We start from the raw sequence: 14,410 nt of genomic DNA, 5'->3' as shown, positions 1-14,410 counted from the left end.
ACAGGTAAAATAAAATTGTAATAGGCAATTATATTTCTATTTGTCTCTCAGAAGCTATTTTTTATAACCTAGAAAAAAACAGGTAAGGAAACAAACTGGGTTTATACTCTTTTTTCTCTTTTTAGGTAACCAAGTTCATTAAAAAGTCTTTTTTTTTTTCTAATTCCCTCTGGTAATCAAGCCAGTAATCAGTGATACCTGAATATACTATGTTAGTACTCTTCTAAGTCCAATTTATAATCACCAAATTTTTTTTATTAGATAGGATATTTTCCATGCTCTACAGGTTGTTTTGCAAGTGACAATTACATAACATCAATATGAAGGCGACTTCTTTTTGCTTAACTGGTTTATTAATACATTTAGTTTTGCCCTCAGCAAGGTAAAATGTATTTTCTCTTTTATATAAAACTGCTGTTTGTTGAGTGAATTATGGATGAATTCTACTGACCCAGCAGTCAGAAGAACTCTTTCCTCTGCTTGCTGGTACTGATGGATCTCATATGTGACTTTTTGATATAAGAGCAATCCAGCCCCAGAGAACCTAAACTTGGGCCAGATGCCAAGAGTTTATTGCTATTCTGGCTGAGGGACTGTCTTAGAGTACTAGAAGAATGGAAAGGCAGGAAGAGGTGGTTCTTCTCCAAAAGCATTAATGGCTTCAGACAGATCCATCCAACAAATTCTCTTCTTCATCCCTCTTGTGGTCATTGGCCTGAATTTTTCATATGAATGGCTTGAGGTAATACATGAATGTAGAACCAGATTCTTTCTTTCATGCACACCTCACTGGGCCATATATGAATAAATTTCTTAGTTTCTGAGTTTCAAAACCCAAAATACCTTGTAACATTTTAAAAACAATATCTAATTTTCCATTTAAATAATTATTTCCAATCAGGCATATAGGAAAAAATAGAACAATCTCTCAAATTCCACTAACATTTTATGATTTAAAAATTATATTATAATTAAAAAATAGGTCTTTTACCAAAACATTCCTGCTATAAACTGAGCATATGGTCTCATCTTACAGGTTTGGGGCACTTCTGGGAAAAGAAGACAGAGGTGTCCTATTTCTCCTACCCCAACCTCTCTGTTACATTTACATTCTGCTGGCGTGTTCATGTGTTAAATCCTCCATAACACTCCAGGAAACAACATGCTTCAAATATATACTCAACTTCTTCCCCCAGGACAGTTCTCTCTCAAAGTTTTGAATTGTTTTTTGTTATTACATCAAGTTTTGTTTTTTTGGTGTGTGTGTTTGTAGATGCCCTTGCATAATAGTCACTCAATAAATGTTTTCTGATATTGATCAAAATGAGCTAAATACAAATAATATCTTACTCCTTAATTAGTCTTAATAGTTGATGGGAATAAGAAGACAACTTGTAGTCACCACATAGGAAAAGCATAGTAGGAACTAAAGCCATTTTGCTAACAAACTAACTTGAATCTCTAGACTGAAATTCTCAAGATGCAACCAGGTTTATGCCACATTAATCAGAGTCTCTTTCTTTCTTTCTTTTTTTTTTTTTTTTTTTTTTTTACTGTATACCTATAGCAGTCTAGAAAATTCATGTAGTCCTTCTCTGAGGTTTGGCCATGGGAGAGGAGGCAGTCCTAAAGAAACTGACTGGTGGTGAAGACTAATGGTGTCAGCGCAATCCAATAATGGGGACACCCATGGAGCTTCCACAGTCAGAATGGTGGGTGGAGTGGAGTGGGACAAAAGGTAGGCAGTTCTTACCTGTCTTTGTGAAATGATAACATTAATATCGACTTCACAAAAACATTTGAGAGTATTAAATGAATTAATTTATAAAGCACTAAGCATAGTGACTGGTACACAGCAAGTGCTCATTATCTATTTGTTGAATGAATGAATGAGATGACATGTAAATTGAGTCTTAAAGGATGAGCGAGATTTGTTGAATGGGGAAAGGAAGAATAGCCTTCTAACTATTCAAAAGAGAGCATTTTTCAAGGACTGACAAGTTAAGTTGTGAGCAGAAGGAAAAAAAACTTCTGTAAGAAGGGGCTAAAAATTTGGTCCCAGAGTTGAAGAACTTTTAACACACTACACTAAGCATTTTAAACAATGGACAAAGGCGAGCCCTGAAGGTTTGTAATTAATGTGATAATCTATCAAATCAGAACTTTATTAAAAAACAAAAAATATTTTAATGTGATTGAATTTTTAAAACTTCAAGTTATTTAATTGAGATTCATGAAAATCTTTTAAAGTTCTTCCTGCCACAAACTGTTTTAACTATCACATAAAACTGACACTTTGGAATATGATCCAAATACTGATTAAAAAACAGACTATATATGTATATCAGTGCCAGATCAATGACAGCTTCTAGGTATAGAATTAATCTTCCCTTGAGTTTACCCACAGAAACAACCTTAAGAAAAAAATGTTTCATCTGAATATTTTAAATCAAATTTTGATGTTGTCTCACAAAGATAACACTGTCTATTTTTGATCTCATACAGTGGAACACATCAGGTAGTTTTGTTTTAAACTGCTGAAAAATCAAATCTTGGATGCACGCCCAAAGTTCGAATACTTTTACCTATGCTCCAACCACTTAGTGGTAGAATAAGATACTTACATGGATGGCAGTTCCAAACAAATCAAGACCATATACATTCAAGAGGGATGGAAGAATAGATCTGAGGTCTCAAATGGCTCTACTTGAAAATTCAAGTTTTATGTAAATGGTAAGTTTTAGAAATGTACTTATGTTACACTCTCTTGGCAACAAGACCACATGAGACATACGCTAAAAGGTTTAAAAAAAGTGAAATTACATACATGGAGACTTTTGAGCTTGTGTGGAAACAAAAATCTGAGAAACTGATAGTTTACCAAGAAGGTAAAGTAATTTGAAGTGTTTATAATAATGTCAGATTTCCAAGAAATTGTATTGACTATAGGAATTTGTTTGCTGACAGAAATGTGACCCATTTAGATTAAGAAGTTAGAAAGAAGTGGGGAAAATTATGCATTCAGTATTGTCATATGCTATGTAATTCTCTGGTGGCAAAACCTTTCATTGTGCTCCCTTCATCCACTTTAATAACTTTTGAACAATACTGAGGCTCTGAATGCTAAGATTTTGGTGTTGGTACTTTTCAAAGTTTTTTGTTTGTTTGTTTGCTTGTTTTTTTCTTTTTCTTTCTTTTTCTTTTTTCTTTCTTGTTTTTTTTTTTTTTTTTTTTTTTTTTTTTTTTTTTTGGCATGGCATCCCTGGTTGGGCATTAAACCTTTCAAATGTTTATTTGTGACCTTGAAGATTCAACTTTAGTTTCAGGTTACATGGCGATACCAGCTGTATGATTAATATAGTAGCTACTAGCTACATTTTGCTCTTAAAATGTAAATTAATTAATACTTTACATTTATATGTAAAGTAATTTCAGTAAAACTGAAAATTTAGTTCCTCTGTGGCACTAGCTACATACCAAATGTTCAACAGTGGCTATGGTGTTGGACAGCACAGATACAGAACAGTTGTCTGATCACAGCAATATCTATCCGATATCATTAAAGAGAGACTAAGATTTGACTTCCATAATGAAAGACTCAAACAGGTTAAATAAAGAATACAATATTCTATGTTTAACTCTAATGACTAGCATAGAAGCAATCAAGAATTCTGTTACAAAGATATTTGATGAGTAGGATATATAAATAGACAATACTACTTTGATTTTGCTTTCTTCTTAATATAGATATATCACCTGAGCATAGCTATGCTCTTAATTTTCAGTCATAACATTATTAACTGGGAGTTAGTCAATTACTGTTGTTAAAAGGCACTCTTCCCTCTTCAATTATATCATTTTGCCCTCAGCTTTAAATTATGTCATGACCTTTAGTCTGAAACTTTCACTTCTTTATTTTTAAACTTAATTGTGCCATTTTATCAATCTCAAAATGAGCTGAACAATTTCAAGTAAAGAAAGATGTGCGCTGCCTATTCTCTATCTTCTCATATTTTTATTACCCTAGTTATGAGGAGTGAAACATGGCTGCCTATGTTTCATAATGCCATGCAAAGAAGTGAACTGTAACAAGCACCCTACCGTATCTCTAAGTAGGTGTCAGAAAATTACAGTTCTAACACCAGACTAATTTATAAGGAACTAAGACAACACAGGGATATATGTTACATTTTCGGTGTCTGATAGTTAATATCATTAATTCATGTTTTAAAATAGAATTTTTCTATTTTATCCATTTCTCTACTATTATCAGTGTTTATATCATCAGTGATATGCACTATGCTTCAGTAAAAAAACAAACTCTGAATCTCAGTATCTAAAAATAACAGAGAACTTTTTGCCCCTTATTCCTCAACATGTTCATTGAAGGTCAGCTGGAGTTCTGTTCTTTACTGTCTTCATCCTTATCTCTTTGGATGTTGGAATGGCCTCAGTCCATGTTGGTGGCAGAGGACAAGAACATGGTAAAGCAGTCTCTGGCTGTTAAAGCTCCTACCCAGAAATTACACAGGCATCTTCCACTCACATTTCATTGGCTAAAGCACGTCATATGGCCACACCTAGTTTCCAAGTCAACACGGAGGTGTAATCCCTCCATGTGCTGGAAAGGATAGAGTCAGAATATTTATGAAGATTCATGACTAGTACTGGAAAAATTGCAGCATTTAAAAAATATTTTCCTATACAACGTAGTGTAAACAAATAAGAAAAAGAGATATGTTAAGAAACTACTAAATTCACCAAACACAGGAAGACAAATACTTAATGATTCCACTTACATGAAATATCCAAAATAGTCAAATTCATACAATCAAAGACTGGAATGATGCTTACCAAGGACAGGAGTAGGAGCAAATGGGGAGATATTAATCAACAGGCATAAAATTTCGGTTAAGATGAATGAGATCTAGAGATCTTCTCTACAATACTGCACCTATAGTCAACAATAATGGATTGTACACTTAAATTTTCTTAAGAGGATAGATTGCATATTAAGTGTTCTTATCACAGTAAGAATAAAAAATTAATTCATAAGCAAAAGACACTGCAAGAAAGAAGATAAAATTGCAGTAGGTAAAATGAACAACATTATTGTCTCTTTTGGTAGAGAGATAAAGAATAGAATGAGATTGGGAATATTAACCTCGCTTGAACTATGAACCAAACTTTTCATTCTGAGAACTTCAGGGACAGATTTGTGTCTCTCTGCCATGCCTCTGGATCACAAAGATAACTTGGTTGGCTGACATATGCCTTTCATCATTTGTATCCTGCCTTTTTGAGATGTTGCCTCATCAGTCTGTTTCATTCAGACTCTCTGTCATTCCATTTTTTCACTGTCTAAAGTGAATTGGTAACTGGAGAATTTAACTGAAACAAAAAACGGCACTGGTTTTAAAACAATATCTATACAGTCCCACAAAAGTCAGTTAAGTGGAAAAAGGTTAGTCTAACCTTTCCCTCTCCACTCCCCAGTATCTGATTTTGGGTGTCATTTATAAACAGTCTTGATATGAACAGGTTCTACCTTAAATCCAATGTATTTCTCCCTCTCTTTCCCTTGGTAAACCTATATAAACATGTTCTGGTACAGAAAAATTTGGGATTACAAGTTTTCTTTGTCTTTACATTTTTTTTTTTTGCATTAACACTTCAAGAAAAGCTATATTCTAGTGAAGGACAGGACTTGAAATCTCTTTAATTCAATACTCAATGGACTGCACTATCAGGAGTATATGCATAAATGCCAAAAGATAATAACATGGCATTATTGATGCTACCAGAGGCTTACCATTTTCAAATAAACCATCCCAGGCTGAAGTGACATCAATCCCACATTTCACTGTTGTGGCAAATGGTTCCCCTGACTCTGTGGCTTCTATCAATCTCTGATTCTAAAGATGCAATTGGTGGAATCAGATTTGTCATTGGACATTTAATTAAATACAGAGCCCTTCAAGGTACAATTGATAAGCAAATATAAGTTATTTTCCTCTAACTATAGACAATTATAGTTTCTATTATGGATTGCAAATTAGATAAAGGGTACCTTATTCTCATTATATGGTTTATAAATAGATTGTTCTGTGTTTTTTTCTCTTCTAGCGCATTTTATAACACCTAGTGAGAAAACTCATATCTAAGGTCATTCATGAACTGAAATGTATCTTGTTTTTAAAAAATTCAGAAAATTGCTTAACCATGTATCAGAAAAAAAAATAGCAATCCTATATTATTGGAAAATATCAACTTGGATAGAATTTCTTATAATTGCCCTTAAAATATGACACGTCTACAGGTGCTCTTGTTTAAATAGTGTTCCTTTATAAACTGTCACTCTAGTACAATTTACTTAAATGCTAAAAATTTGGCATTATTAGATTTCTAGAACTTATAGAGAAAATTCTATTTTGCTTATTTATGTTTTATCTTTTCTTTTTCTTTTCTTTTTTTTTTTTTTTAGATAGGGTCTCACTCTGTCACCCAGGATGGAGTACAGTGGCGCCATCTCTGCTCACTGCAACCTCCACCCACTGGGCTCAAGCCATCCTCCCACCTCAGCCTCATGAGTAGCTGGGACTATGGGACTACAGCAACACGACACCATGCCAGGCTAATTTTTTGTATTTCTGGTAGAGACAGGGTTTCACCATGTTGCCAGGCTGGTCTTAAAGTCCTGAACTCAAGCAATCCACTCATCTCGGCCTCTCAAAATGCTGGGATTACAGGCATGAGCCACCACACATGGCTATGTTTTGCCTTTCTAGTTAGACAGCTAGAATGTAGAAATGAGTGAGCTAACTCCAAAGCCAAGGAGAAATAAGAAATGAATGCCTTACATTCCATCATGAAGGTGAATAAAGCCGATATTGATATTTTTGTCACATCCTACATTGTTAGGTTGCGCCCTTAACAATTATCGGCATAATCGTTAAGTGCATAATACTTTTGTGCCCTTAATAATACTTTCGCATTTTATTCTGAATGCTTATTCAAGTACTAAATTCTATCTGAAGTATATGTTGAAATAAGAACAATTTTTTTCTCTCTCATTAACAAAGAATTATTGAGTCAAGTTTAGTTAGTATTTTTGTTAGAAGAAATAAAAAAAATAAGTGGAAGAGATAGTTGCCAGGAGTGTGTACCTCAGGAATGCCTGAAATACTATCATCCAGTGATTGATTCCTTGTTTGGGGGATTTTGTTTTGTTTTGTCTTGTTTTAGATGAAGTCTTGCTCTGTAGCCCAGGCTAGAGGACAGCGGCGCAATCTTGGCTTACTGCAACCTCCGCCTCCCGGGTTCAAGCGATTCGCCTGCCTCAGCCTCCCGAGTAGCTGGGATTACAAGCGCCTGTCAACACGCCTGGCTAATTTTTGTATTCTTAGTAGAGACAGGGTTTCGCCATGTTGGCCAGGCTGGTCTCGAATGCCTGACTTCGTGATCCATCCGCCTCGACCTCCCAAAGTGCTGGGATGACAGGAGTGAGCACTGTACCTGGACTATTTGGGGAATCTTTAAAAGGCAAATCATTCTAGCGTTATTTGTGATTTAATTTTATGGTTTGCTTTCCTTTAGTGATGACAGGCAAACACGGTGGCATGACAGAGTTCAGATGAAGGAGATAAGAATTTGGTCAAGGGTGTTGAAGTATCATTATAAAGTGGGAAGAAGTTTTTCTCCCCACTGATTTTGCATTTTTTCTAGAGCCAGCTCTCAAGACGATAATTTTATGCAAGAAACACAGAGCTAATATGCTGCAAATTACTTTGATCTTCCACATAGCAATGTGACATCAATTAAACATTATTGAACTTTGATATATACTAGATACAGTTGTGAGAAAATATACATTGCACTCTTATGGAGTGTGTAGAGTAGTTGCGATCTCTGTCAGTTTACATATATAATAATATAAAAGTTAATAAAATCATAATAAATGCTACAAAAGAATAATACATGATATTATAAAAATATGGACTGGCAGCATCAATGAGGGCATGTATGAGAACATATATAATGGGGACTCAAAGAGAAAGTGTTCCAAAGTTTAACTTCTGTACCCAGCCTGCTTGTTTCCCTCAGAGGATCTTGACAGAACTAAGAAAAATAGGATATGTAATGAGCTGAAATATTATATAGATTTATTAGTTCGTTTAGCAAGTATTTATTGAAGCTTTGTGCTGAAAATATGTGTCTCTCCCATTTGACCCTTTCTTTTCCTTCCCCACGCCATCCACCTTTCCTACCATACATCTCACACATCTCAATGATTGCATCTGCTTCCTACCTCAATCTCTTTCCACTTCCATGTAGCCCATACATGTTGGTCCAATGATGTTTTTGTAAAGCCAGTACTTATGTTGTATTTTATGCATTCTTTTGCTATATAGCACTAATCTCACTGAATTCTATCCAAGCTCAATAACATTTGTCACACAATGCTGGAACTCCTCTAATATTTTATCTCCCTACTCTCTATAAGATCAGGTGCCGTTCTCAGCTTGGCCTTCTGGGATTTGCACAAGTATGACCTCAAACTCTTCTCTAATTTTCTCACTCCTTTATTTATACACAAGTCTTCTACTTTCATCAAACCAATGCACTTCGAATGCCTTTACTAGCTTTACTTAGGCCTTTTCTTTACAAAAAAAAAAAAAAAATTATCCCCACTATTCTCTGTTTAGGTAAATTTGACTCAGCTCTCTAGGTTTCATCTAAAATAAACTTTGCTTTCTATAAACTATATTACATTTTGTGAAGAGTTTGATATTAAGCACACACACATGCATACATATATCTATATAGGCTTATATGTTAAAATGTATGTGTATACATTTGTATCACTGGAGTAGTAGGTCTTTGAAAATAAGAATTTTCTTTTACTTGTATAAACTCTATCGTTTGATACATAAATTTTTCATAACAATTTATTGATTGATGAATTTGTGGTGATATGGAGGAAAAGCAGTGCAATTATCAACTATCCAATGAGAATGTCACACTCAACTACACTATATAATAGTTTTTTTGTTTGCTTTTAGCCAGCCTTTAATTAAATTCTCAGAATTGGTTTTCAGTATGGTTCCCAAACATTTATCTGATTCTGCTGTATTTTGGAACCACTGAGATGTTTAGACTTCAAAAAAAAAAAAAAAAAAGAATACTATAGTTGCAGCATCTGGAAATAAGCCTGTGATTCTGTAATCTAATGCATTCTGGGATTTGCCAGAATTGTCATAATTAGAATATTTTAATATTGTTTATACCATGAAATTTTTTCATTAAGTCTATTGACCTCATGCTAAGTTAGAAATTATTTTTAATAAATAAGAATTTATCAACCGGTTGTCAGAAACTCTTGTATTTTACACTAGGGGCTTCTATTTCCCTCAAAATCTGCAGGATACCTGGCATGAAGGAAATAAAACTCTAATTTACTGACAAGTGTGTAAGCAAGGCAGGAGTGAGGAAAAAGTGGTCTTGGGGATACTTTTATTAGTCTAAGTTTATTATTAGTCCACTTTGTTAATGTCTAAGCTAGGTTCAAAACTAGAAACTATCAATCCATATTCCAAATCTACTAAATCTGAGTTAATTATTTTTTGAACTTTTAGATTTAGGCATAAATAGGTATGACTGTAGTTAATATGTCTTCCAACTGCCAAAATACTAAGTTGCTTTAAAAGTTGACTGCCTTATAGAGGTGGTTCAAGAACTCCCTTGAAAGTAAGATGTCATACAGTGAATACCAGGTGCTTCTAAAAACAGTAGGATATTTTACTTTTGTCTCATTGGAAACAACATTTTATATAAATATCATGTCACCTAATAACATTTTTCTATTACAGAGAGGGAGGCTATTATTATTATTATTTCTTCTTGTCCCCAGAAACAATTTAAAGTGATATTATAGGCAAATATCTCTAGTCAAATCTGGATAGTCTTCTCATCTTCCAAACAAATGTATTTCATTTTTTTGTTTGTTTTTAAGGCAGTAATGGTCCCTATTTTTTTCATTTATATAATGGTTTTACAATCATACAATGTACAATTTAAACTGTAAGTTCACTTTACAAAGGGATTCTGGCATGTATGTTGTTGTTTCTTAAATTACAACGGTAGAGTTTTCTTCAACATGCATGCTTTATTCCCTCCTCCCTCATTCCCTCAGAATGCTCCCTTTTCTTCCATTACAAAATGTCCCAAACCTAAGGGAAAGGAATCTTTGGTAAGGCATTAGAAATTAGCAAAATTTTGCATCACGCAGTCTAGCTATCTGCTTAGCTGACCTCTCTTCTTTTATTCCTGGATATCCAGCTAGATATCATATGCCGGTTAAGAATGCATTTTATAACTTGCTGTGCCATTTAGTGGCCCTTATTCTCTGATTACCTGGCAGTTAGCTGTGACTAGTCAACTGTGAGTGAAGGTGACAGCTGCCATTCCAGGTGTGGTCTATTTAAACTCCCATGTCACTTCCCTTTTAGTGGCTTGATGTAGAGATAACAGCAGCACCATCTGCAGTCCCTGAATCGCCCTTTGTGGGAAAACCGACTTCTGATCAGCAGCACTGGTTTGAACTTTACAGGAGCTGAAATCATGTTCATTCATGGTAAGCCTTATGATCTGAGGGCTAACTTTTAAAGGTAGCTAGTGTTCCATTAAAAAGTATACTTTGTTAGTATAATTAAGCATCAGAGTTCCACTGTAAAATGGGGCCAATGTTATGAGAGAAAGGCTTGTTTGACTAAGAGTTGTTTCCCTTTGAAGAACTTGCATGTGTGAAAGACTTGCTTTTAAGTGCAAAGGACTTGCTGCTGCATGGAGCCTTGGGCACTGCCTGGAAACCTGAAGACCTGGCTGGGAGGATTTTGCCTTGAATTGGAACCAGAACTCTAAATGGAGAATGGAGGGGTTGAGAGGTCTGAAACGATGAGACCTTGGAGAGTACAAAGGAGAGGAGGAAAAGGACTAGGAGACCACAAGCTCCTGGATACTCATCAAAGGCAGACTTAGAACAACAGGGGACTCAGTGGGAAAAGTGCTATGTTTGTGGTCATCTTACCGTATGGGTCCTTCCTTCCGATATTGGTTTGTATCTGTTAACTTTTTAGACTTTGTAGGACTACTTGAGGAGATGCATAAGCCAGTGTGACACTTTGGACCTAGTTATTCCCATGTGGTTATACAGGTTGTTCCAGAAGACAGCCATGCAAAGGCATTCTTTGATGTACCGGAAGTCTCACAGAAGTTCTTGCTTGCAAATGAAGCAAGATCCCTCTATCCACACAGATGCAAATTCTCTCTCTCTGCTCATGCATCTCTTAAAAACACCTGCTAAAATTTAGGTATTCTGCTGCATGGAGTCTTCCTCATGACAGAGATGTAATAGGAATAACAGAACTTTGAAGGCAAATAAACCCTGTGTTCCAATGCTATCTCTCCCCCTCAGCAGCAGAATAACCCTGGGCAAGTTCATGAAGCTTTTGCTTCAAGTAATCGCTTTGAATAAGTTAAGCCTCGAACATTAGTTTCCTGAATTGCAAAATAAGCATTATAAAATCTACATTTCCAATTGCGATGCGGAGGATATATGGTGAAATCAGTGTAAAATATACCGTCCTGCCTTTATCATAGAGTTATTGCAGTATAGATCTTTCTCTGCTTCTTATTGCCTAATGAAAAGCAGCCTCTCTCATGCTAGTTGATGTGGAATATAACATGAAGATTCTAGGTGCAAAATTTGTGAAAAATACTTGCATAGTACAAAAAGGGGAGAGGAACATATGATATGCCTGTAGAAGGATTCTAGAGATTTCTTAGTTAAAAAGGGAATAGTACAGTAAGCATATTCAGGTATAAAACTAGTAGAGAGGTAAGATGCACTAAGAATGGAGGGGTCAAATTACCCAGATATATACTATGTCCTGCCCATTTTCCTCAAAGGAAAACACTTGCTATTTTCCTCAAAGGAAAACAGTATGTTTACCTGTCTTTTTATCTATTAATCGATATAACCCATGTAAAGTTAACTGTTACCTTCACCTAAGGATTACTTTTGTTAATATTTTATTATATGTTTTTCAATTAGGTCAGGATTAAATTTGATGATATATGCAGAGTGTCTAGAAGTACACTTGGTTTCTACTAAGTAGTCAACAAAAGATAGTTATTATATGTGATTTTTTTTTCTAGAACTTGCTGCTTATAGTACCTAATGACACTATGATGCCTAAAAACTATTCTTTTTAAAAAGTGACCTTATCAGCCAAGTGTGGTGGCTCACACCTTTGGGAGGCCAAGGCAGGTGGATCACCTGAGGTCAGGAGTTTGAGACCAGTCTGGCCAACACGGCAAAACCCTGTCTCTACTAAAAATATAAAAATGAGCTGGGAGTGGTGGTGGGTACCTGTAATCCCAGCTTCTCAGGAGGCTGAGGCAGGAGAATTGCCTGAACCTGGGAGGCGGAAGTTGCAGTGAGCGGAGATCTCACTACTGCATTCCAGCTTGGGTGACAGAGAAAGACTCTGCCTCAAAAAAAAAAAAAAAAAAGTGACGTTTTCTACCTTGTATTTCAGAGCTTTCATCTGTTTTGTTTTAAAATAATATGTGAGAAGCAGATAATTTAACAAATTTCCATTCTACTTGACAAAAAAGATAAAGTATATTCTGTGACTTTGTAAAGGGTTTCACAAGTTCTACTTATTTCGTAATTTCAATCTTTACATTTATCTGCTGTAAGTCAAAAATCTCTGTAAACTGTTGTGGGTATGTTGGCAAATATAATCATTAGCCTATGGAAGTTGCTGATAAGTCAAGAGCTGCTCATGTTACAGAAGCCTTTCTTGTAGAATTTCCCCCAAACTGAAGAGGGTGGTCTATTATAGCTTCCAGTTCCCTTGTAGCATTGCAGGCACTGGTAAGTAAACTTTAAGTAATTAGAATAGATTCTTCTCTTCAACCCTGTACTGACTGGAGCAAAGTAGGATTTGCAGGATTAAGGCTACTCCTTGCAAAGGTGAATGGGTTCACAGCTGACACATGCAGCGCCAAGCGTGGAACAGTGTTATTAAAAATGAGATTTCAAAGTAAGAGGAAATAGCTACATCAAACTTCACCTCATCACAGTAAGGTTAGGGAGCTATAAACACTTGGAATGCTCTTTCCCCCTGGTTTTAACAAGAAAAATGTAATAACTGTTCAAATTCCCATTACAAGGTTGTCAGAGCAACATTAGTACATGATGCGCTCCAAGACATGGATTGTTCAGAAAGTACCCACGCGTGAAATCAGAATTAGGCAAAATACTAGAATCAGGAGGAAAGCTGGCAAAGACTCATTTGCAACAACTGAAATGTCAATAAAAATATTATCTTGTTTTTAACAGACTGTTCTCTTAAGTTTAAGCAAGGGCTAAAAGGCATTCAGAATGTGCCCGTGCTAATTGCTCTTTGCTTACTAATTTTTAACATTTACTAACATTTAAAATATTTCACTTTTAAAATGTGGATGAAAATATTGTACAGCCTGCATGCAGAATGAGTTGAAGGCAACTGACTCAGTGACTTTATGTTCTAATTCATTTAATCAGAAGTTAGAGCTAGAAGTCCAAGTGCGTTATTTTAGAGACAAGGTCACGGACATCTAGAAAGGTGAAATAAGTTAATAGTTAAGGAGGTTGTAGGAGGAATTCTCATATTGGGTGAGAGTAAGATGACCCTTAAAGATTCCCTTGTTCTATGTCTTCTCCAAAATCAGCCAGTTAGAGGAAGAATCCATTTCTCTTAATCACATTAAGCCTAGTGCTAATGTTCAGATTGCTGGTAATACAGAAGGGAGAAAAGTCATACACTATGATCAAGCATTATTAACACTAATTAAAAATCTTACAGTCCTGAGGTTTTTATAGCCTAGGATAAATAAAATATATAATAAAATACACATTTTAGTAATGTCTTTTGCTAAAACTGTTCTTTTAAACGTTTCATATCAATAATCAGATTCTTAACAAATTCTAAATTATTCTTTTATCAGTTTTTGACCACTTTTTACATTTGGCACCAGTTTACCTTTTTTATTCTTAAAACTTCTTTTTTTTGACCTCTGGAAAACTGTATTTTCAGGACATTCTCCCACGTCTCTTATTCCAAAGGCTCTACATTCTTTCTGTCTTTTAAATATTTTATACTTCTCTAAAATGTGGAGCTCAAACAAATCAGCAAGAAAAAACAAATAATCCCATCAAAAAGTGGGTGAAGAACATGAATAGACAATTCTCAAAAGAAGATACACAAACAGCCAACAAATATTTTTAAAAATGTTCAACATCACAATTATCAGGGAAATGTAAATTAAAACCACAATGAGATACCATCCTACTCCTGCCAGA

The 14,410-nt window shown here is 35.1% G+C and overlaps 1 protein-coding gene and 1 long non-coding RNA gene across 13 annotated transcripts in view, besides 2 other annotated features; one reads left to right on the top strand and one right to left on the bottom strand.

Moving 5' to 3' along the window:
• The window catches only part of CNTN5 (contactin 5), a 1,337,937-nt gene that overhangs the window by 242,218 nt on the left and 1,081,309 nt on the right, over positions 1-14,410 (bottom strand). The gene's annotated exons all lie outside the window — the stretch shown is intronic.
• Positions 10,323-11,317: an enhancer, noted in NCBI's record as "NANOG hESC enhancer chr11:99976083-99977077 (GRCh37/hg19 assembly coordinates)". NCBI's record gives its function as "activates a minimal SCP1, AML or CMV promoter by ChIP-STARR-seq in naive H9 embryonic stem cells {active_cell/tissue: H9 hESC(naive)}" and the evidence as "EXISTENCE:reporter gene assay evidence [ECO:0000049][PMID:30033119]".
• LOC105369456 (uncharacterized) overlaps positions 10,427-14,410 on the top strand; it is a 54,991-nt gene continuing 51,007 nt past the window's right edge. Inside the window, exon 1 of the long non-coding RNA XR_947948.3 lies at positions 10,427-10,633. This is a non-coding gene — a long non-coding RNA (uncharacterized LOC105369456). The remainder of the gene's footprint in view (positions 10,634-14,410) is intronic.
• Positions 11,976-12,145: an enhancer, noted in NCBI's record as "experimental_22485 CRE fragment used in MPRA reporter constructs". NCBI's record gives its function as "activates a minimal promoter by MPRAs in K562 erythroleukemia cells, with activity observed for the introgressed 11:99975340 variant allele {active_cell/tissue: K562}" and the evidence as "EXISTENCE:reporter gene assay evidence [ECO:0000049][PMID:34662402]".

The sequence above is a fragment of the Homo sapiens genome, chromosome 11 (assembly GCF_000001405.40).
Source record: "Homo sapiens chromosome 11, GRCh38.p14 Primary Assembly".
Taxonomy (NCBI): domain Eukaryota; kingdom Metazoa; phylum Chordata; class Mammalia; order Primates; family Hominidae; genus Homo; species Homo sapiens.
Note: the sequence above shows the minus strand (reverse complement) of the source record. Positions and strands in the feature narration are given on the sequence as shown.